The sequence below is a fragment of the Homo sapiens genome, chromosome 7, assembly GCF_000001405.40.
Source record: "Homo sapiens chromosome 7, GRCh38.p14 Primary Assembly".
NCBI lineage: Eukaryota > Metazoa > Chordata > Mammalia > Primates > Hominidae > Homo > Homo sapiens.
In genome coordinates, this window is record NC_000007.14 from 122,138,250 (window position 1) to 122,163,887 (window position 25,638).

General features: G+C 39.7%; 1 protein-coding gene, 1 long non-coding RNA gene and 1 pseudogene across 9 annotated transcripts in view, besides 3 other annotated features; 2 read left to right on the top strand and 1 right to left on the bottom strand.

The window, feature by feature from the left end:
* The window catches only part of AASS (aminoadipate-semialdehyde synthase), a 70,701-nt gene extending 64,701 nt beyond the window's left edge, over positions 1-6,000 (bottom strand). For all 6 annotated transcript variants that reach the window (XR_007059980.1, XR_927326.3, XM_011515725.3 and 3 more), the window contains exon 1: positions 5,912-6,000. The gene's annotated coding sequence lies outside the window, so the exon portion shown is untranslated. The remainder of the gene's footprint in view (positions 1-5,911) is intronic.
* Positions 4,824-5,329: an enhancer, noted in NCBI's record as "NANOG-H3K27ac-H3K4me1 hESC enhancer chr7:121783127-121783632 (GRCh37/hg19 assembly coordinates)". NCBI's record gives its function as "activates a minimal SCP1, AML or CMV promoter by ChIP-STARR-seq in primed H9 embryonic stem cells {active_cell/tissue: H9 hESC(primed)}" and the evidence as "EXISTENCE:reporter gene assay evidence [ECO:0000049][PMID:30033119]".
* Positions 5,631-5,830: a silencer, noted in NCBI's record as "silent region_18577". NCBI's record gives its function as "represses an Ori minimal core promoter by ATAC-STARR-seq in GM12878 lymphoblastoid cells {active_cell/tissue: GM12878}" and the evidence as "EXISTENCE:reporter gene assay evidence [ECO:0000049][PMID:35858748]".
* Positions 6,165-25,638, top strand: part of LOC102724527 (uncharacterized) — a 74,864-nt gene continuing 55,390 nt past the window's right edge. For all 3 annotated transcript variants that reach the window (XR_007060498.1, XR_007060497.1, XR_007060500.1), the window contains exon 1: positions 6,165-6,247. This is a non-coding gene — a long non-coding RNA (uncharacterized LOC102724527). The remainder of the gene's footprint in view (positions 6,248-25,638) is intronic.
* Positions 6,331-6,380: an enhancer, noted in NCBI's record as "active region_26563". NCBI's record gives its function as "activates an Ori minimal core promoter by ATAC-STARR-seq in GM12878 lymphoblastoid cells {active_cell/tissue: GM12878}" and the evidence as "EXISTENCE:reporter gene assay evidence [ECO:0000049][PMID:35858748]".
* On the top strand, positions 21,030-24,532 carry LOC100130618 (tetratricopeptide repeat domain 14 pseudogene; annotated as a pseudogene).

Sequence of the window (25,638 nt, forward strand, 5' to 3'; positions counted from 1 at the left end):
TACAGTAGACCCTGTTTATCTGTGGGTAATACATTCCAAGAAGCCCAGTGGATGCTTGAAATCTCTGATAGTCCCAAACCCTATATATACTATGTTTTTTCCTATACATACATACCTATGATATAGTTTAATTTATAAATTGGGCACTGTAAGAGACTAGCAACAATAATAAAATAGAATAATTATGACAATATACTGTAATAAAAGTTATGTAAATGTGGTCTCTCTCACTCTCTCTTTCTCTCTCACAATATCTTAGTGTACTTTATTCACCTATTTTCAGACCAGATTGACAGTGGGTAACTGAAACCATGGAAAGCGAAAACTTGGATAAGAAGGAACTACTATGTACTGAGACAGGAAGATAATAGTGAAGGTTGCCCAGTAGCAATAGGAGAACATACTCTATGATACTGTCTTATCTTTCCATCTCTCAAGGTGGCAAGACTTAATCTTTTAATTTGCTAACTTTGCAACAAAAACATGAGAATCAGAAGAAAGAACATGCTTGAATGTTCTTTGTATTTTTTTATTATTTTCCAGAAAAGGGAAAGGAAAATGACAGAGACAGATAGAGAGAGAGAGAAAAAAAAGGACACAGAGACAGAGCTCGGCACTCCATACACATCCCATTTTCTTTCAATGACCATGAGCTGTCCTATGGTCACTGAGTACACCATCATTCTAAATCACATGGAGTAACCAAAGCAAAGCAGATTCTGTAAAATGTATTTATAAAATATTATATTTAAGAAAAGCCACTCTCAGGACAGAGAATCTCATGTGTGGTTAGAAAGGTCCTTTCAGAGTGTGAGCAAAGTGGTCTTTTGTACAATTACACATATTAATATAAAAACAGCTAGTCATTTGCTTATAGCACAAATATTTTCTAATATTTAAATTATAATGAAATCCAGAAAGTCTCTTGATAGAGTTATCAAAATAAAATCTTTTGTACACGGAATATGGGACAAATGCTTTTGATTCTCTTTAATTAAAAAAATATTTGGGGGCTACTTAAGATATGCACGGCATGATGCACTTGGTAAAGATATAAAGAAGCAGTAATCCAATCCCTGCCCATGTTCAGGATTAGTTTTATCAAATTAAATGGTGCTGATCAATATCTGATAGTGAATTATTAATTATTGATTATATCCAAATATTAGAGTCAAAGTGGGACTGATAGAATGTAATCTAAAATCTAGTATTACAAATGAGAATAGTGAGGCCCATAGAAATAGGGGATTTTTTTCTGTTTTATAGAAAGCATTTTCCAAGCCACTATTATGTATTTTTATGACTTATCATAATGGATGTCACAGTAAGTCTGTTCTCGTTGGTATAACTTTTTAAATGTAACTCGATCAAGATTTTTCTCTCTGCTACTTTTCAGGCAATATTTATGCCTTAAAATGATGTGTTTGGCCAAGCACAGTGGCTTATGCCTATAATGCCAGCACTTTGGGAGGCCAGGGTGGGCAGATCACCTGAGGAGTTCGAGACCAGCCTAGGCAACATGCAAAACCCCATCTCTACTAAAAATACAAAAATTAACTGGGCGTGGTGGCGCATGCTGGTAGTCCCAGCTACTCGGGAGGCTGAAGCATGAAAATCACTTGAGCCCAGGAGGCGAAGTTTGCAGTAAGTGAAGATCATGCCATTACACTCCCACCTGGACAACAAAGTGAGACTGTCTCAAACAAACAAACAAACAAACAAACAAACAAATGATGTATTTAATTTTTGCAGTTTTTATAAGGGAACGGGGTAGATGAAGAGAGCTGAGATTTTCATAGAGCTTTTTACTCTTCCATCAAATAGCTAAAATTCTTTAAGTCTCTTCAACCCTTTCCATAGCACCAACCCAATCAGAATACTTTTTAAGCTTATAGATCACCTACCTAAGCAAAACAATGCACAAGCATTACAAGAGCTTAAGAATGAACTAAGCGGCTGGGTGCGGTGGCTCACACCTGTAATCCCAGCACTTTGGGAGGCTGAGGCAGGCGGATCACGAGGTCAGGAGGTCGAGACCGTCCTGGCTGACACGGTGAAACCCCGTCTCTACTAAAAATACAAAAAATTAGCCAGGGTCGGTGGCGGGCGCCTGTAGTCCCAGCTACTCGGGAGACTGAGGCTGGAGAATGGCGTGGAACCCGGGAGGCGGAGCTTGCAGTGAGCCGAGTTCGTACCACTGCACTCCAGCCTGGGCGACAGAGCGAGACTCAGTCTCAAAAAAAAAAAAAAAAAAAAAAAGAATGAACTAAGCATTGCACCTCTTAATTTCTGTTACTTCTTTTGGGATATGTATGAAGGATCACACATTCATTTTTGAAGAAATTAAGGCCAAATGTTCCAACTTTAATCCCCACAGTTAGGAACGTGCTCTTTGTCCATCTATTTTAGATATTTAAAATAATTTCACTACAGCATAATTCAATGACTCAAACCAAAACTATCAAATCACACGGGGGATTTCTGAATGACAAATTATTTGCAATAATCAGGCATATATTGTGATTAAATATTGAGAGACTAAGAATGAGGTAATGTAGTCTTTAGATGAAGAAAATAAGTTCAAGGATGAACAGCGCTAATTATTTATATTCACCCTTCCAAGTAACTAAAAAAAAAAAAAAAATACAAGTATATATTAAAATCCATGGTTTCCCAAGAAGCACTGGTGTCTGTAAATAAGTATGGCAGCTCTATGGCTATGAGTCTTGGCCTACACTAAGTATCCAAACCATAATATTTTTTGGAGAGGTTCAAAAGAGTTCCAGAATTAACACAGCACCAGATGATGGCCTAGAACTAATCCAAATCCCTCCCAATTTCAAGGCTTGCTAGAACTAGGCTTGGGCTTGCATTAACACTGGTCATACTTTGACTTCCTGTGCGTGGGTACATTCTTTTAATGCTTCCATGTTAAACCCTCTATAAAATACTTTACTGGATTAAGAAGAAAGTGGTAGACTTTGGGGGAGGAGGTCTATTAGTGTTAACTAATCTGGTCTGAGAATTTTCATATTTTCTCCAGCCCATCACCTACTCAAAGTCATCCATAAACATGACACATATTTCTCCTGGTCTCTAGCTTATAATTTTAGCTTCATTGAAATGGAATACAAAGTTAGTTCTAAATCGGAGTCTAGTCCAAAATGCTTATCTGCTTACTTGTCTGTCTCTTTGCTAAACTGCAAATGTGTATGAGTTGTGTTTTACTCATCTCTGTATTCCCAATGACTGGCACATGGGAAAACAGCAAGTGTTTTAAGAAAGAATGAATAAATGAAAAAGCAAATTCAATAAACATTATAAAGACCTATGCAGCAAGAAAACAAACAAACAAACAAACAGATAAAATAGACACATTAATAAGAGACTCACATCCCCCTAACCCTGCAAAAAAAAAAAAAAAAAAAAAAAAAAACTTGATTCTCTTCCAAGATCTCATAGATCAACAAATGTCGTGAAATATAGTACAGTATAGTGGGAAAACTTAGACATGGGAGCTGGGACACATAACTAGATGTAGGGTTCCTCCTCTTGACTTCAGTTTCCTTACCCAGACAAAAATATAATACTAAAGTCCCTTTCAGGCTCTGATATTCTGATTCTATTAAGCATAGTAGTAACTGGACACTGAGAATTACAAAAACATTAGAAATGTAGAACATAAATAGGCACTCTGACTTATGAATTTCTAGCTAAAGTACACCAAACAGGGAAACAAAATACCAAAAACACAATCAAGAAAGAGTGGACATTCACCTAAGCTACCTGCATTAATAGCATGGACCAGGAACCAAGAGCTTGCAACAGAAGATGGATACCTCAAAGGAATACTGGTTTCTCTCCTGGGTTCCTCAGCGGCCAAACTTACTCTGTGACCTTGGCTGGCAACTTAACCTGTCTGTGCATCATGCGCAAAATGAGAATCATATTAACCTCTACCTCTTAGGGCTCTTAAGACGTTTAATTGAGCTAATATGCATAAAGTGCTGAGCATTGCTGTGTGTCATAAACAATAAATTTTAAGAAAAGAAAAAGCCTCCAGGCTTGCCTACTCCTCAAAAGCGAGCACAACCACGCCGCTAACAGTAGACTCACATTTCTTTCCTCTGTCACACTGTAGTAAGACCTTCACGATGGCTCCATATTAATCCCCCACCCTTACATTATTTTGGAAAAAAAATAATTAGAGCCCAATAAGCCCTCTCTTCAACTTCAAACTTCAGGCATGCATGTTCAAGATAAATAAATTACCATTTTAATGTTGTATTTCATCAAATTTAAGACAATTTTTTTACACATTTTAGCATCAGTGAAATAGGGATGCATCTTACAATAGATGACACCTTAGATCAGATGAATGTGGTAATAATGTTTTGGGGTTATTTTCCATTCCAAATGTTTGTTTCCATGATTTCATGAATTGCATAGAATCTTTTGTAGCCTTCCCAAGAAAACTTACCACTGTTTGTAATGTTATTTCTATGAGAAAATTAATAAAAGAATATATGAAAAAAATGAAAATGTTTTGTTAAATGGTGGCTTCTTAAACACCAAAGATCATTTCCAAAATTCCGAACCAAGGTCTGTTAAACGACTAGTGAGAAAAAAAATTCAATGACAAATAAACCAAAGTTCTGATCACGCCATCATCAATAACAAGTGAAACTGATAACAAATATGATTATCTGAAGAGTGGGAAAATGATTCAGGTAAATTGGCTTCAATTTTTGTCCACCTAACTCATTTTGCAGAATGGCCACCAGGTTACACAGTCAAGTCATGTAGCCCTAGATTCACTCATCTTCATGGGAAAAAAAGAAGAGGGGAGTGCAGGGGACAAAACAGACAAACCCAGAAACACCAAAGTGCCATCAGTGTTTTGGGATTTTTTTTAATACAGTATTGGAAAGCCGCAGCTTCAGTCAAGGACCATTCCGTCCTGTGTATAACTACATCTCACAGCTGCACCTTCCCCACTGATAACCCACAACATCAAAAAATGTTAATCCTTGTTCAAGTTACTGAACTAATTCATTCTCTCTCGCGCTCGAGCGCTCTTTCTCTCTCTCTCTTCCGCTCCCCCCACCCCCATTCCCCTGAAATCAATGTCTGAAAAGCACATTTCTTCTTCTGAAGCTGTCAGGATAGACAGACATTCAGCCCCATTCAACCGAGGAGGGTGGGTAAACTGCTTCTCCCCGCGCCCCGTCCCGCGCGAGCGCTCACAATGGGCTGCATAGTCCCGCAGGGGCTGAAGAGTTCAGGAAACCCAGACTTGCAAGGCGCCCAACTTCCACCCATCTCCGATCCTTGCTGGAGAATGGGTCTGTGTCTCGGAGAGTGGGCAGCCCAAGATGGACAAGGAGAGAAGTTTGTGATCAGTTTGGCTAAGCTGGGCGTGGGGAGGGAAGGGGGAAAGAACCACCCCGAAATCTCCATCCACCGCCCCCTCAGCCAGCCGTCCCCTCTAAGCACGCCGTCCACAAATTAACAAGCCGTTGTTTCCTCAGCTTCATCAGTTCTTTATTCCCCAGCCACAGCACCACCACTGTCCGCCAAAAAAGAAAGAAAAGAAATCCGAATTGCAATCCCTCGCCTTTCTACTTAGAAATGCTGGAGCTGCGCTGACCGCTCTCCCTCCCTTCCTCGCAGTGAAACTCTCTGCGTTTCCGCTCTCCCTCCATTCCTCGCAGGGAGGCCCGAATGCTCGCCGCCTTCTCCCTCTCTCGGCCCGGCCGGGGTCGCCTCGCGGCGCCGGGACCCGAAGGCCAGGCTCGCGGGCCCCTCCCAGCGACAGCCCGAGCCCGGCCCGCTATCTCCACCGCATCTCACAGGCTGAGCCCACCCGCGCGTCTGCTCAGCTCTCCGCGGGGACCTCTCCTCTCCTCACCTCGTCCGCTCTGGGGCGCCGACTTGTCCCCCGCCGCCTCGAATCTTCCGAGTCGCTGCAGGGGAGGCTCCGAATTCCTAGAAGAAACTGGGATGGAAGGCCGGGAAGTAGGAGGTGTTTGCTCAACTTCTGAGGACGTCACGCCTCTGCCTCCCGTAGCCAATCAGCAGCCGCCCTGAGGGAACAACCTTCTCATCTGCCAATCGGCGGCGCTGCCAGTTGCTACGTCATGCCCGGCCCCTGCTCCTCCCCAAGATCCTTCTGTCTCTGATCTCTGATCTCTGACCTGCGTTCTTAGCTGGGACGTCGAGTTCTCCCAGGATAATTATCGACCAGGTTTGTAACTGTCCGTGGCAGAAGGCGGGCGGGGACGGAAAGCAACGAAAATAGTCTGGGCATTACGCTCTAAATAGAGGTGCACATCTCCTGGGGAAAAGTTGCGAGCGCCGGTACCTCACGTTTGTTTAGCTATAGACACTTTTCAAAGCATTTCACCGCCTTGTCACAACCCTGTGAAGCCAGATAACAGTTCTTACAACAGTTTTAGAAGCCAGCAAGCGGAGAATCTGAGAAATTAAAACTGAGTGTGTTCATGTGCATATGGCAATGTCCAATGTTATTGAAAAGTCCTAACTACCTAGGAGGCCTGGAGGGAGGGGGAAAACGTATTTCATAGACACTAGCCCCAGCACTAGGAACTGAAGAATCGTCTGAAGCCCAGCTGTGATTCCCCAAGGCGTCAACGGTCAGAAGTTAATCTTCCCTCCTGTTTTTACAACTTTCTCCACCACTTACTCTTCTTATACCTGCCATAGATGTATTTAGCTACTGAACTCCTATGTCAACAATCTATAGCCAGAACGTTCTTGAGACTCCACTCATATCTCCAATTGCAGAGAAAATTATTTATTTATTTATTTGTGGTAGACATGGGGTCTCGCTGTGTTGACCAGGACACTGGTCTGGAACTCCTAGCCTCAAGCTATCCTCCCACCTCGTCCTCCCAAAGCACTGGGATTACAGGTGTTAGCCACTGTGCCCAACCCCAAATTAGAATTTTATCTGTAAGTAGAGTTGGAATTTTCTTCTGTATCTTCAGCTTCACATTTCCAAAATCGGATCCCTTATCATTCTTGGAAAGTCTTCCAAAGGCTGTGTAGTGGTTCACACCTGTAATCTCAGCACTTTGGGAGACTGAGGCTGGAGAATCACTTGAGCCCAGGAGTTTAAGACTAACCTGGGCAACGTAGCAAGACCTGTGTCTACTAAAAATAAAAATAATAAAAATAAATAAAATTTTAAAAAGCCAGGTGTAGTGGCACATACCTGTGGTCCCAACTACTTAGGAGGCTAAGGTGGAAGGATCACTTGAGCCGCAGGATGTTGAGGCTGCAGTGAGCCATGATCATGCCACTGCACTGTAGTCTGGGTGACAGAGTAAGACCCTGTCTCAAAAAATAAAATAAAATAAAGCCTTCCCTTTTGTGCTCACCAGCTCTGTTACTAATATCACTGCCTTCCTACTCACCACCTATCCAGACTTAAAAAGCCACGGTCACTTCAGTTCTTCCTCTGGCCCCTCAGCCTTACCCTTGGTGTTGACACTGTCCTTTAAAAACCCCACTACTATCACCCTACTTCAAACCCCTTTTTATATATAACGTAGACCATATTTTTTTAAGCATACAACTCCAATTGTCTCATTGGCCTAAGCAAAAAGCCTCAGAGACTACCCAGTACTTGTGGAACATTAGCCCAACGTTCTTCACATAATGTTAGTTGCTTCAGATGTGGCCAAAATCAATGACCTTGGCTTTATTTCTGCAGCAGAACCAGCCTGAAACCACCACTGAAACACAATTTATGCCTTGCTATCTTCCTAAGGATTAAGCATCTGGGTAAGAATGTAAGAATCCTTACTCTTCTCCTTTGAGTTGTAAATCATGGGCAAGTTACTTAGTTTTCAAAAAAAGCCTGTGCTCCATTATCTGTTAATGGGTTAATAATAGCCACTACTTCGTGGAGTCATGAGAACAAAATGAGATAATGGCCAAAGTGCCCTGTTAATTGTCTCACTGAAGAAACTGGAAATCATTATTTATTTTCCTCCAAATACCTCATGTTGTAGACTTATCTGTAATTCTAATTTACAAAAATATTCACCTTTCTAAAACTAACCAGCCCTTTGGGGTTCAGCTCAAATGCCACTTAAATAATGAAAACTTTCCTGAATATTTCAACCACATGTGATTGTTTCCCTTCTCCCTTGTGTATTGGCCTCTCTTATTGTACTTATCACATTCTTCCTTTTATCACAGTTATTCATACTTACCTTATCCACATTGCTCAGCTCACCTGTCATCACCACCATAAAATAAGAATATGTACGTGGACTTCCTCTTTTCTTTTCTTTTCTATTTATTTATTGCTTCTAGTACGATGCTATGCGTGTAATAAGTCAGTTGGGGTCTTAGCAGGAAATAGGTGGCACAATCCAACTGGGTAAATTAGGAGACACAAAAGGACTGAGTGTATGCAGGGATAAAGGAAAGTGGCAGTATATGTGCCATGTAGTCCCTGGGACTAGCAACACTGACAATCACTCGTAGGCCTAAACAGGGCCAGGGAAAGAAATAATTACCAGAACTCAGGAATAGTTCTACCTGTAGTGTAGCTGTAGCTGTAGCTGTAGAGAGTGCCATTCAACCAACAGTAGTGGTTTGTGACAGGAATAAAGCTGCCTAAAGATTAATCCTGCCGGCCGGGCACAGTGGCTCATGCCTGTAATCCCAGCACTTTGGAATGCCAAGGTGGGCAGATCACCTGAGGTCAGGAGTTTGAGACCAGCCTGGCCAACATGGTGAAACCCTGTCTCTACTAAAAATACAAAAATTAGCCAGGCATGGTGGCAAGGGCCCGTAATCCCAGCTACTTGGGAGGCTGAGGCAGGAGAATCGCTTGCACCCGGGAGGAGGAGGTTGCAGTAAGCCGAGATGACACCACTGCATTCCAGCCTGGGTGACAAGAGTGAGACTCCATCTCAAAAACAAACAAAAAAAGATTAATCCTACCTGAAGAGGAACCTACCTAAGGCAGGGGTCAACAAACTTTTTTCTGTAAAGGGCCAGAAAATAAATATTTTAGGCTTCACAGATCATACCATCTCTGTCATGTCATGACTACTCAACTCTGCTGGCTGGAATGTAAAAGGCAGCTATAGGCCATATTTAAATGGATATGTGTGGCTGTGTTTTGATAAAACTTAATTTACAAAAGTAGGCTGCAGGGCAGATAGGGCCTCTGGGCTACAGTTTGCAGACCCCTGTTCTTCCATAGGGAAGGAATAATCTTACTTCACTCTCCTCCTGCCCCTTCATCTCCTGCTGATGGCTTCTACTATTTGGACATAAATAGAGCCAGATTGTTAGTGAAGTCCAAAAAGATCACCTCCCATTCTGGGGGCAGAGCAGGTGCAGAAAGGGACAGAAATTCTAGAGGGTTCAAAGGAGAATATTCAACACAAAATGTTTTCAGCAACTACTTGTTGAAATGAATGAATCGTATGACTGGTCACTGTGAATCCCACTGCAAATGATTGAACGCTCATGGAAAAACTGCTGAAATTTAATTCCTAAGTAGGAAAAGCTGGGAAAGGGCCCTGGACCATCATGACTTCAACAAGGACCTGAGGCTCAGTGTGCTTCTCTCTTGCTTTACTTTAGGAATTTTGCAAAATATACACATGAGAAATACTGGTTCTTGAAATGAGGAATTTCAAACATTTTTCAGTGTAGTGACATTTGTTGTAATGAGTGTGACAGATCTCAGAAATTTCTTTATAATGAAAAGGGATAACAGATGAGAGACAAAAACAAACCTTGGATACCCCTCAGGTCAGCTCCTGCAGTCAATCCCTCAAATGTTTTTAATAAGGGAGACCTCTTCCATCCACATTGGGTGCTGAGTCCGTGCTCCTGAAATTGGGAAGTTGATTCTAGCCACTCAGGCTGCCTCTCTTTCTCCCACCTACTTTGGTTTTCTCTCTTCCCCAGTCATTCTCTATTTTCGTCTGGTTCTTCCTGTGAGGTCCTGAAAGGTAGTGGTTTGGCACTTGAGCACCAGAGTGAATGGGACTTAGATTTAATCCCTTCTTTGCCTCTCACTAGCAAGTCACTAAGTCTCGCTTTCTCCCATCAGGACAGTGGAGAACATCATAGGGTTGTCAAGATTAAATGAGCCATGTTCTTAATATATGTGAGCTAATGTTAAAGCTTACTAGTTTGTCCTGTTTTATCACCCCCTCACCTTTCATTGCATTTGGAACCCAGTCTCACTTTTAAATAAGTTTTTCTATAAAGATAAAACAAGTAGGTATTTGAGAGGAGAAGGAGGAAGAAATCCAGCATGCTCCTAAATGTGTTCCATTTATTTCTCAAAATTTTATACATTTAAGTCCTCACTTAACATCATCAACACGTTCTTGGAAACTGTGACTTTAAGCAAAACAACATGCAGCAGGTCATTGAATAGCATAATTTTATTCAATATAGTTTTGTTATAACATTGATAAGAAAAAATGGTTTTGTTACATACATATATATATATATGTCATTTTGCTTAAAGTCATAGTTTCCAAGAACCTATGGATGACATCAAGTCAAGACTAATTGTATTTCTTAAATGAACAGCAATTTTTACCATATCATCTATGATATGCCCACCCTAATAAATTATTCTACTTATTGTAAATAGAACTGCCTTATAGGCAGAAACTGCAAATTCAAAATAAGAAGTAATTTAGAAAAGAAAAGTTTTTAAATGACAATTACTATTGTTGCCTAACTCTCATATTGTCTTGTAAATGACACACACATTTTTTACTTGCAAAGAATTTAAAAATCAATTCAGGTAAAACAAGAGCAGGAACCACCCACAGGTAAATCTAAATCTCACTTCCTGCAACCAGGACCGTTCTCCCCCACGACCACCACCCTTAGATGAAAGAAGGAAAGAAAATGAATTCCTAGTTTACCTCCTCTGCCATTAGTCATTAGTCATATTTAGGGAATCCTTCTTGAAAAAATTTCAAGAAAATTCCAAGCCTCTTGGCATTTTAGGGCCAACTTTTATTGGCTTCTAATGTTTTAAAAAAACTTCCCAAGAGTCTGTGGCTTCTTTTGAAAGTTACACGTGCGGTACACCTCACTCAGCAGATTTGCTGCTCGTAACTGCCCGCTTAGTAACTGTTACCAAAAGTCTATCAGGACTTTTGAATTTTCAGTTACACTTCACTGTAATGAATGCATGACAGTTATATTTTATAATAATATAAGCAAATTTGGAGAATGCAAATTTCAGGATATATCTCACTGACATAATGGATCTAATGTATGCAAATCCAGGAAGAAAATCCAGTGTTCCCTTCCCCATCTTCTTTTGAGCAAAAGTCTCAAAAGAAAAGATGTTTTAAAGAACTAAGAAAAGATTGGGGAAGAAGATGGGAAAAAATTAAAGCACAAATAAAACACACAAGTAATCTTTCTGGGGGTTGAGCTGGAGAGAGCTAACAGACCAGGTTTAGGAGTGTCGACCTAAAGGAAAAAACTGAGGCAAACTTAATATAAGTGAAGAGTTTATTTGGTTGAAGTTTGAGGACTAGAACCAGAGAGCATATATTCAACTTGCCCCGAATATACACTCCCATTAGCAGTGTACCTGCTGTAAAGTACAAGTAAATTTTTAAAGGAAAGGAAAAGGCAGTTCCTAAGTTATTTACCAATAATTTACATTATTGCTATTGATTGGCCTTACATTGTTCTTTGTATCACAAATCCCAGGAACATGGAGATAATGGATAAGGCAGCTAGTTAGGAAAAAAATTGCTTTAAATAATTGTCCTCCTCCACCACCACCACTATGGGTAAGTCCTATACTCATGACTCTCTGGGCCTGACAAATTTTGCACAACTCACATTCCTCAGACTGCTCTGAACTATTTTCCTTTTCTCAGGAAATAAAAGAGGAGTCAGGATTTTTCCTTCCAGTCTCAGTCTGGATCAACTGAATGAAAGCAACCTTTCACAGTAGTCATTTCACTATTGAGATGAGAAGGAAATAAAAAGAATATATATATATGTATATATGGCATGTTCTCACTTATAAGTGGAAGCTAAATGATGAGAACACATGAACAGATGGGGGAATACACACACACACACACACACACACACACACACACACACACACACACACATATATAGCCATGTAAGAAGTAGCAGCTAAGAAAAATAATCAAAGTATAGGCAAGGCCACAGCAAAAAAATGTAAAGTAAAATGGAGAAAGTATCCCCAACATTCAACTGACTCTCATGATAATTGCCATCTGTGTAGTTCCTCAGAAACAGACATAATAGAATTTAAAAGGGACAGAAAAAGAAAAGCAGAGGAGGATGCTCTCATTGGATGGTAAACTGTTGATACTGCCCATGATAGAAACAGACATTTTTGTCTTATTTACTATTATTGAACAACCCCAAGATTCTAAAACAAAACAACAGTAAGCCACACACACACACACACACACAAAAGGCAAGAATTTAATAAACAGAGTGTTGTCTGCACCTATATACACAGGTTAATTCCAAAATGTTTGTTAATTGTTCTGTAAACATGGTTAAGAAAAATACTCCTTCTATCCTAAGAAACTGAATGCCTAATATACCAAAGATGTGTCAAGACAAGCACCGCACTAATCACTAATGTTTTTACTTCTTTTTTTTTTTTTTTGAGATGGAGTTTCACTTTGTTGCCCAGACTGGAAAGCAATGGCATGATCTCGGCTCACTGCAACCTCTGCCTCCCAGGTTCAAATGATTCGCCTTCCTCAGCCTCCCGAGTAGCTAGGATTACAGGTGCCCGTCACCACGTCCAGCTAGGTTTTTGTATTTTTAGCAGAGACAGGGGTTTCATCATGTTGGCCAGGCTGGTCTCAAACTCTTGACCTCAGGTGATCCACCTGCCTCAGCCTCCCAAAGTGCTGGGATTACAGGCCTGAGCCACCGCTCCCAGCCCTAATGTTTTTACTTCTAAAAGTCAGAGACTTGAGTTCTGTGTCTTTGAAATCCACCAGGATCAACTAGCTGCCCTACACACAGTGGGGGTCTGAGGGATCTGTGCAGTTATGTGAAGAAGTAGATTTGGACCTGGAGAAAACAGAGAAATGAAAAAGGAACAAAATGAGGGAAGGTGGATAAAAATAAAGTGAGTGGAGGATGAGGGGCTGACAATAGGAGGATTGAGCCAAAGTTTACTTACTGCATAGGGAACCTTAAACCCCTTCCTCTCTTTGCTTCCAGAATGCCTGCAGCTAGGCCTTTGCCCTCCAGACAGAAAATTAAAAAAAACAAACAAACATTTTCTCTGTAAAACTTTCCCAGCCAACTTTCAGATGTGGAATTTGAAAAGAAAGAGGAGTCAATAGTAACACTAAGATTTTAGGCCTCAACAATTTAGAAGCAATAAGTTGCCTTTAACTAAAATGGGGAAGACACTTGAAGGGCAGGGTAGGAGAAAGATCAGGAGTTTGGTTGCGAACAACTCAGGTTTGAGATTTTCATTATGTTAACCAGTAAATAATATCCAAGTTACCAGTGGCTAATCCTTATGGGTCTGCAGCAATCTCAGTTCTTGCCTTCTCAGAAGAAATAATTCAGCTGAGGGGCATAAGGAAGAAAAAGAGACTGAAGCAAGTTTCAGAGCAAGAGTAGAAGTTTATTTTAAAAGGCTTTAGAACCACATTTCCAGGAAAAATATAGTTTCCTGGAAGTCTAATGAAGAAATAAAATTTGATTTGCATTTCTCTAATGATCAGTGATGTTGAGCTGTTTTTCATATGCTTGTTGGCTACACATATGTATTCTTTTGAAAAGTGGCTGCCCATGACCTTTGTCCATTTTTTTTTTTAACTTTTAAGTTCAGGGGTACAACTGCAGGTTTGTTACATGGGTAAATTGTGTAATGGAGGTTTGTTGTAATATTATTTCATCACATAAGTATTAATCTAGTACCCATTAGTTATTTTCCCTGATCCTCTTTTTCCTCCCACCCTCGACCCTCCAAAAGACCACAGTGTGTCTTGTTCCCCCTATCTGTTCATGTGTTCTCATCATTTAGCTTCCACTTATAAGTGAGAACATGCCGTATTTGGTATTCTGATCCTGTGTTAGTTTGCTAAGGATAATGGCCTCCAGCTCCATCCATGTCTCTGCAAAGGACATGATCTCATTGATTTTATGTCTGCATAGTATACCATGGTGTATATGTACCATATGTTCTTTATCCAGTCTGTTATTGATGCCTTGCCCAGTTTTAAATGGGTTGTTGTTGTTTTTTTTCTTGTAAATTTGTTTAAGTTCCTTACAGATACTGGATATTAGAACTTTGTCAGATGCATCGTTTGCAAAAATTTCCTCACGTTCTGTAGTTGTCTGTTTACACTGTTGATAGTTTCTTTTGCTGTGCAGAATCTCTTTAGTTTAATTAAATCCCATTTGTTAATTTTTGCTTTTGTTGCAATTGCTTTTGATGTCTCCATCATAAAATCTTTGCCAGTTCCTATGTCTGTTGTCTTCCAGAGTTTTTCTAGTTTTTGGTTTTACATTTAAGTCTTTAATCCATCTTGAGTTGATTTTTGTGTATGGTATAAGGAAGGGGTCTAGTTTCAATATTCTACATTGGTCTAGCCAATTATCCCAGCACCATTTATTAACTAGGAAATCCTTTCCCCATGGCTTTTTGTCAGCTTTGTCAAAGATCAGATGGTTGTAGGTGTGTGGCCTTATTTCTGGGCTCTCTATTCTGTTTTATTGGTCTGAGTCTGTTTTTGTACCAGTACCATGTTGTTTTGGTTACTGTAGCCCTGTAGTATAGTTTGAAGTCAGGTAGTGTTATGCCTCCAGTTTTGTTCTTTTTCTTAGGATTGCCTTGGCTATTTGGGCTCTTGTTTGGTTACATATGAATTTTAAAATCGTTTTTCCTAGTTCTGTCAAAAATGTCATTGGCAGTTGGGTAGGAATAGCATTGAATCTATAAATTGCTTTGGGTAGTGTATTAGTCCATTCTCACACTGCTATAAATAACTGCCTGAGACTGGGTGATTTACAAAGGAAAGAGATGTAATTGACTCACAGTTCTGCATGGCTGGGGAGGTGATAGGAAACTTACAATCATGGCGCAAGGAGAAGCAGGCATGTCCTACATGGCAGCAGGTGAGAGAAGGGGAAAATGCCGCTTATACAATCATCAGATCTCATGAGAATTCACTCACTCTCATGAGAACAGCATGGGGGAAATTGCCCCCATGGTCCAATCACCTCCCACCGGTTTTCTCTCTTGACATGTGAGGATTATGGGGATTACGATAGGAGATGAGATCTGGGCAGGGACACAGAGCCAAACAATATCAAGCAGTATGACCATTTTAACAATATTGATTCTTCCTATCCAAGAGCATAAAATGTTTTTCCATTTGTTCCTGTCATCTCTGATTTCTTTGAGCAGAATTTTGTAATTCTGATTGTAGAAATCTTTCACCTTCATGGTTAGCTGTATTCCTAGGTATTTTAATTTTTTTGCATGGCAATTGTGAATGGGATTGCATTCCTGATTTGGTTCTCAGCTTGACTGTGAGTGGAGTGTAGGAATGCTAGTAATTTTTGTATGTTTATTTTGTACCCTGAAACTTCACTGAAGTTGTTTATCAGCTTAAGGAGATTTTGGGCCAAGACTATTGGGTTTTCTAGATGTAGAATCATGTTATCTGCAAACAGGGATGTTTTGACTTTCTTTCTTCCTATTTGGATGCCCTTTATCTCTCTCTCTTGCCACATTGCTCTGGCCAGGACTCTCAATACTATGTTGAATAGGAGTAGTGAGAGAGGGCATCAGTCTTGTGCTGGTTTTCAAGGGGAATGCTTCCAGCTTTTGCCCATTCAGTGTGATTGGTTCAGGTTTGTCATAGATGGCTCTTATTGCTTTGAGGTGTGGAGTTGAGTAGTTCCAATCAACAGTCATGGAAATAAAACTTAAATAAGTTTTAAAAAGAGATATAAAGAGAATTACATAGTAAATAGAGACATCCCTTCCATGGAGTATTATAGTAAAGGGGGATAAACATAGTGGTTACTGCAGGAAGAAAAGTGAGATCAGGAAAAGTTATTCTTAATGATGATTAATATTATAGCATGTCTGTATGCTGATGGGAATGATTCAAGAGAGTGGAAAATTAATGGTATGCGACCTCATACACAAGCGGAGGGTTGGTCTTAAGTAGAAGCAAGGAAGAAGGTAAAGAATATGAGCTCAGATGTAACAGAGTTGATACATCTAGTGATGGGAACTTGTGGAAATGCTCTTCTATTTAACAATCATTTTAAATTTCACAAAGTCATCAGCAGAGCCTTCAGCTGACAGTCAGGTGCAAAGAAAGTATTGGAGGTTTGAGGAAACAAGAAAATACAAAGTCATCCTTTAGGACAGGTGTCAGCAAGCTTTTTCTGCAGAAGACTAGCTAACAAACATTTTGGGCTTTCTAAGCCATACAGTCTCTGTCTCAACTACACACTCTGTAGTTGTAGTATTAAAGCATCTATAGATAATATGTAAATGAATGGGTGTGGCTAAGTTTCAGTAAAACATTGTTTATGAAAACAGGCAGCAACAATTGAATAGCACAAGCAAAGAATGAACTTGGGCCCCTACTCCACACTGTACATAAAAATTAATTCAAAATCAACTTTAGACCTAAAAATGGGAAAGATGAGGGGATTGAGAGATAACAGCTCAAGGGCATGGGATTTCTCTTTTTTTTTTTTTTGGTGATGAAAATGTTCTAAAATTGGTTTTGGTAAAGTTTACACAAGTCTGTGAATATACTAGAAGCCATTGAATTGTACACTTTAAATAGGTAAATTCTATGGTATATGAGTTATGTCTCAATTCAACTACCTAAAAAATTAAAACAAGCAAAACTGGTGATGAGTCAGATTTAACTCTCTGGTAGGAGCTAGCACTTGGGCTCTCCAGCCTGAGTGTGCATCAGAATCACCAGGAGGGCTTGTGATATGGTTTGGTTCTGTGTCCCCATCCAAATCTCACGTTGAATTGTAATTCTCAATGTTCAAGGGAGGTGAGTGGATCATGGGGGTGGTTTCTAATGGTTTAGCACCATCCCCCTAGTGCCCTCTCATGATTGAATTCGCATGAGATCTGGTTGTTTAAAAGTGTGTAGCACCTGCATCTTCGCTCTTTCTTCCTCCTGCTCCCACCATGTAAGATATGCTGGCTTCCCCTTCACCTTCTGCCATGATTGTAAGTTTCCTGAGGCCTGCCAAGCCATGCCTCCTGTACAACCTGCAGAACTGTGAGTCAGTTAAACCTCTTTTCTTCATAAATTGTGCAGTCTCAGGTAGTTCTTTATAGCAATGTGAAAAGGGACTAATATAGCTTGTTACAGCAAAGATGTGTAGGCCTCACACCCAGAGTCCCTGATTTAATAGGTCTGGGCTGAGGCAAAAAGTTTGCATTTCTAACATTCTTCCCAAGTAAAGCCGATGCTACAAGTCATGGGGCAGGCCATGGCCATGAATCACTGATCTAGGAGTATAGGGGAATGAATGAATTAGCACAATATAACAAAATTCCTAGAAAGCTTTATGGGGCCCATTGGAGGTATTGGTAAAATAAAAAAAAATTAAGGTGAGACCAATCATAACAGTGTGATTTCCTTCAGCCACGTTCAGCTTCTCAGATGTTGGCACAGAGTAGATGAAGATAAATATTAAGCAGAACAAGGGTGTGTAGAGTACATGCAAAAGAAAGATATTAATGACTGACTATGCAATTTAAGCCAGACACAGAAGGAAATATGGACCTGAGAGAGATAAGAGATGGAGACAACCGGTAGAATGAATGGCTTTTTTTCTGGTGGAGTGGGGCCAAAGGATTGTTGGAGCTGAAGTACTGGAGGAAAAAAAACTGAAAAAAGACTGTTGGGTTGGAAAGTGGGATCTTTATAAGGAAGATAATGGAGGAGCTGCTGTTATTGGCAATGACAAAATTCAGAGAGTGAGTAACTGAGATAGAGAGGAGAAAACGTCAAGGAAATGACAGGCCAGGTTGTGAAAAGGATTATCTGCATCGGTGCTGAAATAACCAATAATTGTAATAAGAATATTATTGCATGGAATTACAGTGAACCAGGAACTAGAATCTTTAATAGACTAAGGGCAATGACTTGGGTTGAGGTAGAGCCTACCCCCCAAAAGAAACAGTAAATATTAAGATGTAATGATGTGTGATGAAAAGCTGTGTGTTTTTAGGGATAGAGTAATATGGGGTTGGAAGCTTCAGAGAACAGCAAGTAACATGCCACTACTCCACTCCCAGTGGTATAATGGATGTAGCTGAGAAAACATCCACTGCTTAAGAGGGTTGCAGGGGTAGGAGTGTTACCAGAAGCCAGGTTTAATGAGAGCAAGAGGTGAAGACACCATTCAGAAAAGATCTTGAAGAAAGGAGTATTTTACTGATAATTGATGAATTCCAGAGGACACAGGGAAAGGGTTTTAGGACGTAGGCAGAGGCAGGAGATGGAACAAAAAAGGTTATTTGCAAAACCATATGTGCGTTAGAGTACAGAAACAAAGACCTGAAATTCCTGGGCTTCACCTTGTGACTGTCAAGAGCAGGGATATAGACAGGATTTGTCAGCCTCGTCACTATTGATATTTTGGGCCTGAACAGTCTTCGTTGGGATTGTGGGCGGAGTTGGGGGGTGGATGTTCTGTGCACTGCAGAATGTTAAGCAGCATCCCTAGGTTCTACCTACTAGATCACAACTCAGGTGTGACAAACAGGAATGACTGTAGACATTCCCAGGAACTCACTGTAAGAAAATAATTACGTGTGTAATAATATATTTATTTTCAATATATATGATCTGTACCTTGTGTGTGTATACATACACGTTTGTCTGCCAGAGTATGATATGCAGTAGCCCCAAATTCAAAACATATAAATGACCCTCAATAGGATATTGGCTAAGTAAATTATGATACATTCATATAATGTATCATCTGCTGCAATTTATAATCATGAAAAGAGGAAGGTGGGTTCAGGACAGCGGCCATTAGGGTCTGGTGTAGGCAAACATGCCAGGACAGAAGTCTGAGGTCCAATGTGAGAGAAGCAAGGAGAATGAGCTTCAATAGACAACAGAAAACAAAGCGTTTCAAAAAGGGAAAGAAGTCAAAGGTTTTGAAAAAAAATTAAAACAAACAGACAAAAAAAAAACCCCACCAAAATCTTAGCATTCCTCTGTTTAATTTTCAGTTCAGAAAATCTTTCACAGCTAAAAACAACATCTGCTGCTTCTGCTTCTCTTGCACACAGGCTGCCCTTGCCTCCTTAAGTCCCCAATGTCTTGGCTGCTTTGGCATCTCTGCCACTTGTAGAAGCCTGTCTGTACTACCTGCTGAGCCCACACCAGCTCGCCTGACAGGAAGGCAACCCTGTACCTAGCAACTCATGAAGTTTAATGGCCTTGTAACAGGTTCATAGAGAACCCCACCCTCCCATGCCCGCAAAATTCATGCCCACCCAGAGCCTTAGAATGTGACCTTATTTGGAAATAAGATTTTTGCCCATATAAGAATCAAGATGAGATTATAGAGATGAGTATAGTGATTCATGCTTGTAATCCTAGCTCTTTAGGAGGCCAAGGCAGGAGGATTGCTTGGGGCCAGGAGCTCAACACCAGCCTGAGCAACATAACAAGAACTTGTCTCTACCAAAAAATAAAAAATTAGCTGGATGAATCCCTGTAGTTCAAGCTACTCAGGAGGCTGAGGCAAGAGGATTACTTAAGTCCAGGAGTTCAAGGTTTGTGGTGAGCTATGATCTTTCCACTGCACTCCAGCCTCAGTAACATAGCAAGACCTTTTCTTTTTTGTTTTTGTTTTTGTTTTTTGTTTTTCTTTGTTGTTGTTGTTTGTTTTTTAAGTGAGATTATACTGGATTTGGGTGGGCTCTAAATCTATTGAACGTGTCTTATTAAAGACAGAAAGGGACATAAAGCCTGAAATTTCTACAGACCCATTTAACAAAAGTATCTCACAATAAATATGTGAAAATAAAGTAGTGGGAATAAACTTGTTTTTGATTACCTGATTCCTGATAAGTCTGTAACTCATGGTTCTTCATTAGATAGGCTGACAAAAAGCTTATCAAAAAGTTGGTAAACACTGTCTTGAAAACATATCTTGAAGCATAATTGTCATTATTATGCAGGGTATACTGGGCCCAGAAACCTCCAAAGTGTAAGGAAAATCAAAAGATATCACTCTCGAATGAAACAGATGAACAGTAACAAAATAGAGGGAAGAATGACCAACTTTACAAATTATTTTTAAATGAATCACTGAAGGTACTAAGAAATTTCCCAGGTCTCTATCGGGAGACCCTATTGTCTTCTCAAGAAGATTTTTATTTTATTTTATTTTATTTTTTGAGACAGGGTCTCTCTCTGTCACCCAGATTGGAGTGCAGTAGTGTGATCATTGCCCACTGCAATCTCGATCTCCTGGGCTCAGCCTCTTGCTTCAGCCTCCCAGGTAGTTGAGACTCCAGGCACGTGCCAACACACCTGGCTAATTTTTTAATTTTTTGTAGAGTCGAGGTCTTGGTATGTTGCTCAGGCTGGTCTTGAACTCCTGGCCTCAAGTGATGCTCCTGCTCAGTCTCCCAAAATGCTGGGATTACAGGCATCAGCCACGGCATCGAGACTGTGCCCATATTTTCTGAATTCCACTTTCTGCCTTCTTAGCTGCATCTGCTCCACCACTTAAACTGCATCCCAATGCCAATGGTTGCCTTCATCTGGTCCCTCCCAATTTCTCCTCCTTTCCATAATGTATCAGTCAATGGAATAGCAGGAAATAAAAGGCAAACACAAAGGCTGTAACTGAGTGAGCTTAATAAAAATATTATCTAAAGAGTTATGGACAAGGTTAAGGAAACAAAAACATGTGATGTAACACTTAGGGACCAGCAATAAGCGGGAAATCATTGTCACCCCAAAACTATTTATGGAGATACCCAGTGTAGATTGGAGAGAGCTGTTTTTCCAAACTATTGAGCATGGTGACTTAGTGATTGGAAAAACTAGTTTTATACAGGAATTTTAATTTTTCATGGTGTTGATTTGTTGATGAAGTGGCATCATAGGAGATACATTCCACTTAGAAATCACAGGTCTTTGTCCATTAAGAAATGTGTCTTCTCACAGTAACCATAGGGGTTATTTATCTTACTATCAAACTGGTGACATCATTCAAGCTGGAATCAAGGATATTGATAGATGCCATGCAAAGCTTGCACTGTCTCTGGATACCTCGTCTCTTCCACCACACCTATCTGGTATTAAATTAGGTGTAATTAGCCCTGAAGAACTTCCTTTGTGCTACAGGAGGTGTGTTGAACTAAATAACAATTCTTTGGAGCCTATAAAAATATCATGCAGAGTTCAGTGGGATTTGTTAATTGAGGAGTAATTTTTTTTCTAGAAAAAGTAGGAATAGACTAATATAATCCACCACCTTAAAAAAACATATTTAGGGCCAGGCATGGTGGCTCATGCCTGTAATCACAGCACTTTGGGAGGCCAAGGTGGGCGGATCAAGAGGTCAGGAGTTCAAGACCAGCCTGACCAACATGGTGAAACCATGTCTCTACTAAAAATACAAAAATTAGCCAGGCGTGGTGGTGCATGCCTGTAATCCCAGCTACTTGGGAGGCTGAGGCAGGAGAATCACTTGAATCTGAGAGGCGGAGGTTGCAGTGAGCCCAGAGTGTGCCACTGCACTCCAGCCTGGGTGACAGAGCAAGACTCCATCTAAAAAAAAACAAACAAACAAAAACCAAAAAAAAAAACACCACCACCAAAAACACATTGAGGGGGTACAAGTGCAGTTTTGTTGCATAGATATATTTCACACTGGTGAAGTCTGGGCTTTTAGTGTACCCATCACACAAATAATGAACATTGTACCCAACAGGTAATTTTTTTCTCTCTCTTTTTTTTTTCCTCACCCTCCTTCTACCATCCCACCCTCCTGAGTTCCTAATGTCTGTTATTCTACTCTATATGTACATGTGTACACATTGTTTAGCTCCTACTTAGAAGGAAGAACATGCGGTATTTGACTTTCTGTTTCTGAGTTATTTCACTTAGGGTAATGTACTCCAGTTCCATTCGTGTTGCTGCAACCATCCACCATCTTTAATAAAAGGCCTGCAGAGCAATAATTTCTCTTAAGACAATTTTGTTTCTGCATTAAGAAAGTAACAATATGCACCTTGGGCTTTAAAATGTGTGAAGATTACAGTTTAAGATTGGATGCCATGCGGATGCTGTGAATGAATACAATAAAGCTCTAGAAACAAACAAATAAAACGCTGGCAGTTCATGAAGGATTAAATACACCAAAGGGAAGTCTGAACAAAGCAACAGAAGATTTTGAGCTTACATTACAAAACTCTCCAACTCACAGACACTTGTAGAAAGAAGAGGATAGTTAGAAGAAGAAAAGTTTTTAAATGCTGAAAGTCACTGGAAGAAAGCTTGGGCTTTGGATGAGACTTTGAAAGATGTAAAAAATGCTTCGCAGAAACTTCATAAATAAGTACAGAGAAAAAACAGGCTGAAAAGGAAGAAAAGCAGAAAACAAAGAAAATAGAAGCATGTGAAGAAAGTTATATAAGCTCTCAAAAGAGAACAAGGGACAAAGCTCGGTGGCTTATGCCTGTAATCCCAGAATTTTGGGAGGCCAAGGCGGGCAGATCACTTGAGGTCAGGAGTTTGAGACCATCCTGGCCAACATGGTGAAAGCCCGTCTCTACTGAAAAATACAAAAAATTAGCTGGGCATGGTGGTATGCACCTGTAGTCCCAGCTACTCGAGAGTCTGAGACAGGAGAATTACTTGAACCCGGGAGGTGGAGGTTGTAGTGAGCTGAAATTGCACTACTGCACTCTAGCCTGGGCAACAGAGTGAGGCTCCATCTCAAAAAAAAAAAAAAAAAAAAAAGAAAGAAAGAGAGAGAGGGAGGGAGAAAGGCTAAAGAAGAAAAGAAAATCAACTACTTCCTCTTCCTGTTTCTTCTGCTGATGAATCTGTTTCTGCATCATCCTCATTCTCTTCCAGTCACAAAAAGCATAAGAAACATAAGAGGAACTGTTCCAAGTCTGCTTGAAATTCGAAGAGACATTCGCTTAGGGTATCCCCAAACCAGATAGACAGAGTAGGAAAGGTGAAACCCAGTTTCAACTAATACTTTAGCATCTTTTCTTAACCAAAAGCAAGAAGTGGAAAAACTACTGGAAAAGCAGGGATAAGTTACAATATCAAAAAACATGAGTAAAAGAGAAAGATAGATACTCTCTCCATCTTCAGATGAAATACTGTATTATTTTGGAGACAGGTCTGAAGAGCCAAGAGATTTTTGTAATACTGATAAAACCGAGACAAGTAGTAGCAAAGCAGAAAAGCCATATAAATCAGAAAGACATTTTTCCAGCAGAAGAAATTCCTCAGATTCCTTCCGTAGGAATTCAGGAAACAAGATAAGAATTTATGATTGTAGATTTGAACAGGATATGGTTGTAGGAGATGTGGTCGTAGGAGGGAAGAAAAGAGCTCTAGAGAAGGTAAAAGCCAGGTTCTATGAGGTATTTCACTTCACCAGCAAGCTGAGACCACTCCTGGAAGTCAGTTGAGAGATACAAAAAACATTCTTATTCTAGATCATGTGATTTTGGTAGACATGAGCTAAAATACTGATTAAATACAAATCAAGGAAAATATGAAGGAGAAAATAATTATGGGGAGGATATCAAAACAGAGGTTCCAGAACAAGATGGACTTATAGCAAAGAACACTCAGAAAGCAGCGTTTAAAAAAATTAAAATTTACTCAGTATATTTAATCAGATAGGTGGATTTGGGAAAGAAAAAGAAAATAAGACAAAAAATTTATATGCCAAGGAAATCAGCACCTTTACGCTAAATGCTGTTAGTAAAAGTTTTGGGTGTTTTAGTTATACCAGTCCAGGGCAAAAATCTCTGTTTCTAAAGTTGTATGTAGAGATTACAGAAAGCAAATGTTTTGTAGGTTTTCTCAAATTGCATTTGATTCAGTTGTAAGTCTCTTGTCACAGCTGGATTTTTAGGCTTTTCATGTGTATGTTTATGTACAGTATATTTCTTACTCTGACATTTTTAATTTCTTCACCTAAAGATAATTCTCTAAAAGCATTGTTTCTTCATTGTATGATGGTGTACGAGAGTCCATTATACTGGGTCCAAGGTATCCTGCAGTTTGAGAGAAAATTAAATCTGTGCGTGAACACTTGCATCATTTTCATCAGTTTCATTCTCTTTTCTGTTAAATTTAAAACCCTAAGCCTTTGAAAGTGATTATATGTTTTAATGTTTTTAAATACCATTTTATATGTATTGTCAGTTCAAATATTAAATATTTTTGCACAGTTGTTTATTTTTTTTAAATAGACTGTATGATCAAGTGCAGTGGCACACACTTATAATCACACACTTTGGAAGGCTGAGGGCAGAGAATCACTTGAAGCCAGGAGTTCAAGACCAGCTTGGGCAACATAGCAAGACCCCATCACTGCAAAAATTGTTTCTAAACATTAGCTAAACATGGTGGCATGTGCCTGTAGTCCCAGCTTCTGAGGAGGCTGAGGGGGGAAGATCACTGGATCCCAGCAGGTCAAGGTTACAGAGCGCCATGATTGCATCACTGCTGTCCAGCCTGGGTGGCAAAGTGAGACGTTGTCTCAAGAAAAAAAAAATACTATGTGAACATGAGTATGTAAGACTCTGTGTTGTAGAGGACTGGGACCTCACTATCTAAATGGAAACATTACTTGGCAAAAGCCAACATGCCTTATAATTATTTTACTTTGATTATATTTTCATTTGGGGGTTTAATGAGTTTGAATAGTTTGCAGATGTTATTTTGTTAAAATGGAATTTATTAGATTTAGAATATAAATTATTATAAATTATAGTTAATATAATTATAACTACAAATATTCTTCAATAATACTGTACATGTTAGCTAGTGTCATTTGGAGCAGACATAATTACCAGAGTGTGTGTGGACTTTAAAAATTTCCTAACATTGATGAATACTCAAGTCTTATCCTTATACTGGTAGCAGACCTTGGAACTGATCCTCTTCTTTTTGTTGAATTTTTGGGATCTGTCATGATGGCATGCAAAACCATGAACCAAAAGTATGGACTATTCATGTAAATAACACAAAGACTTATAAAAAAATACAATGTAGTATAAACACCAAATAATATTTATGGATGCTAATGTGTTTCATTTGAAGAATTTATAGAGCTCTGCCATTGGTGAATGAAAACTAAGCTTAAAACACTGATTATATTAAGCATAAACATGGAGTGGAGGAGTGAGGGAATGAAGGGTTTGGGTAAAAAAGGGATACTGTGATTGGATGAGCTGTGTGAGCACCAAGATAGAATTTTGTTGAGGCTCAACCTCTTGGCCTAAAAGCCAACACTCCCTTTTGAAAGGGTTTATCTAGATCATCACAAGATGACACTGATAACTTTATGATC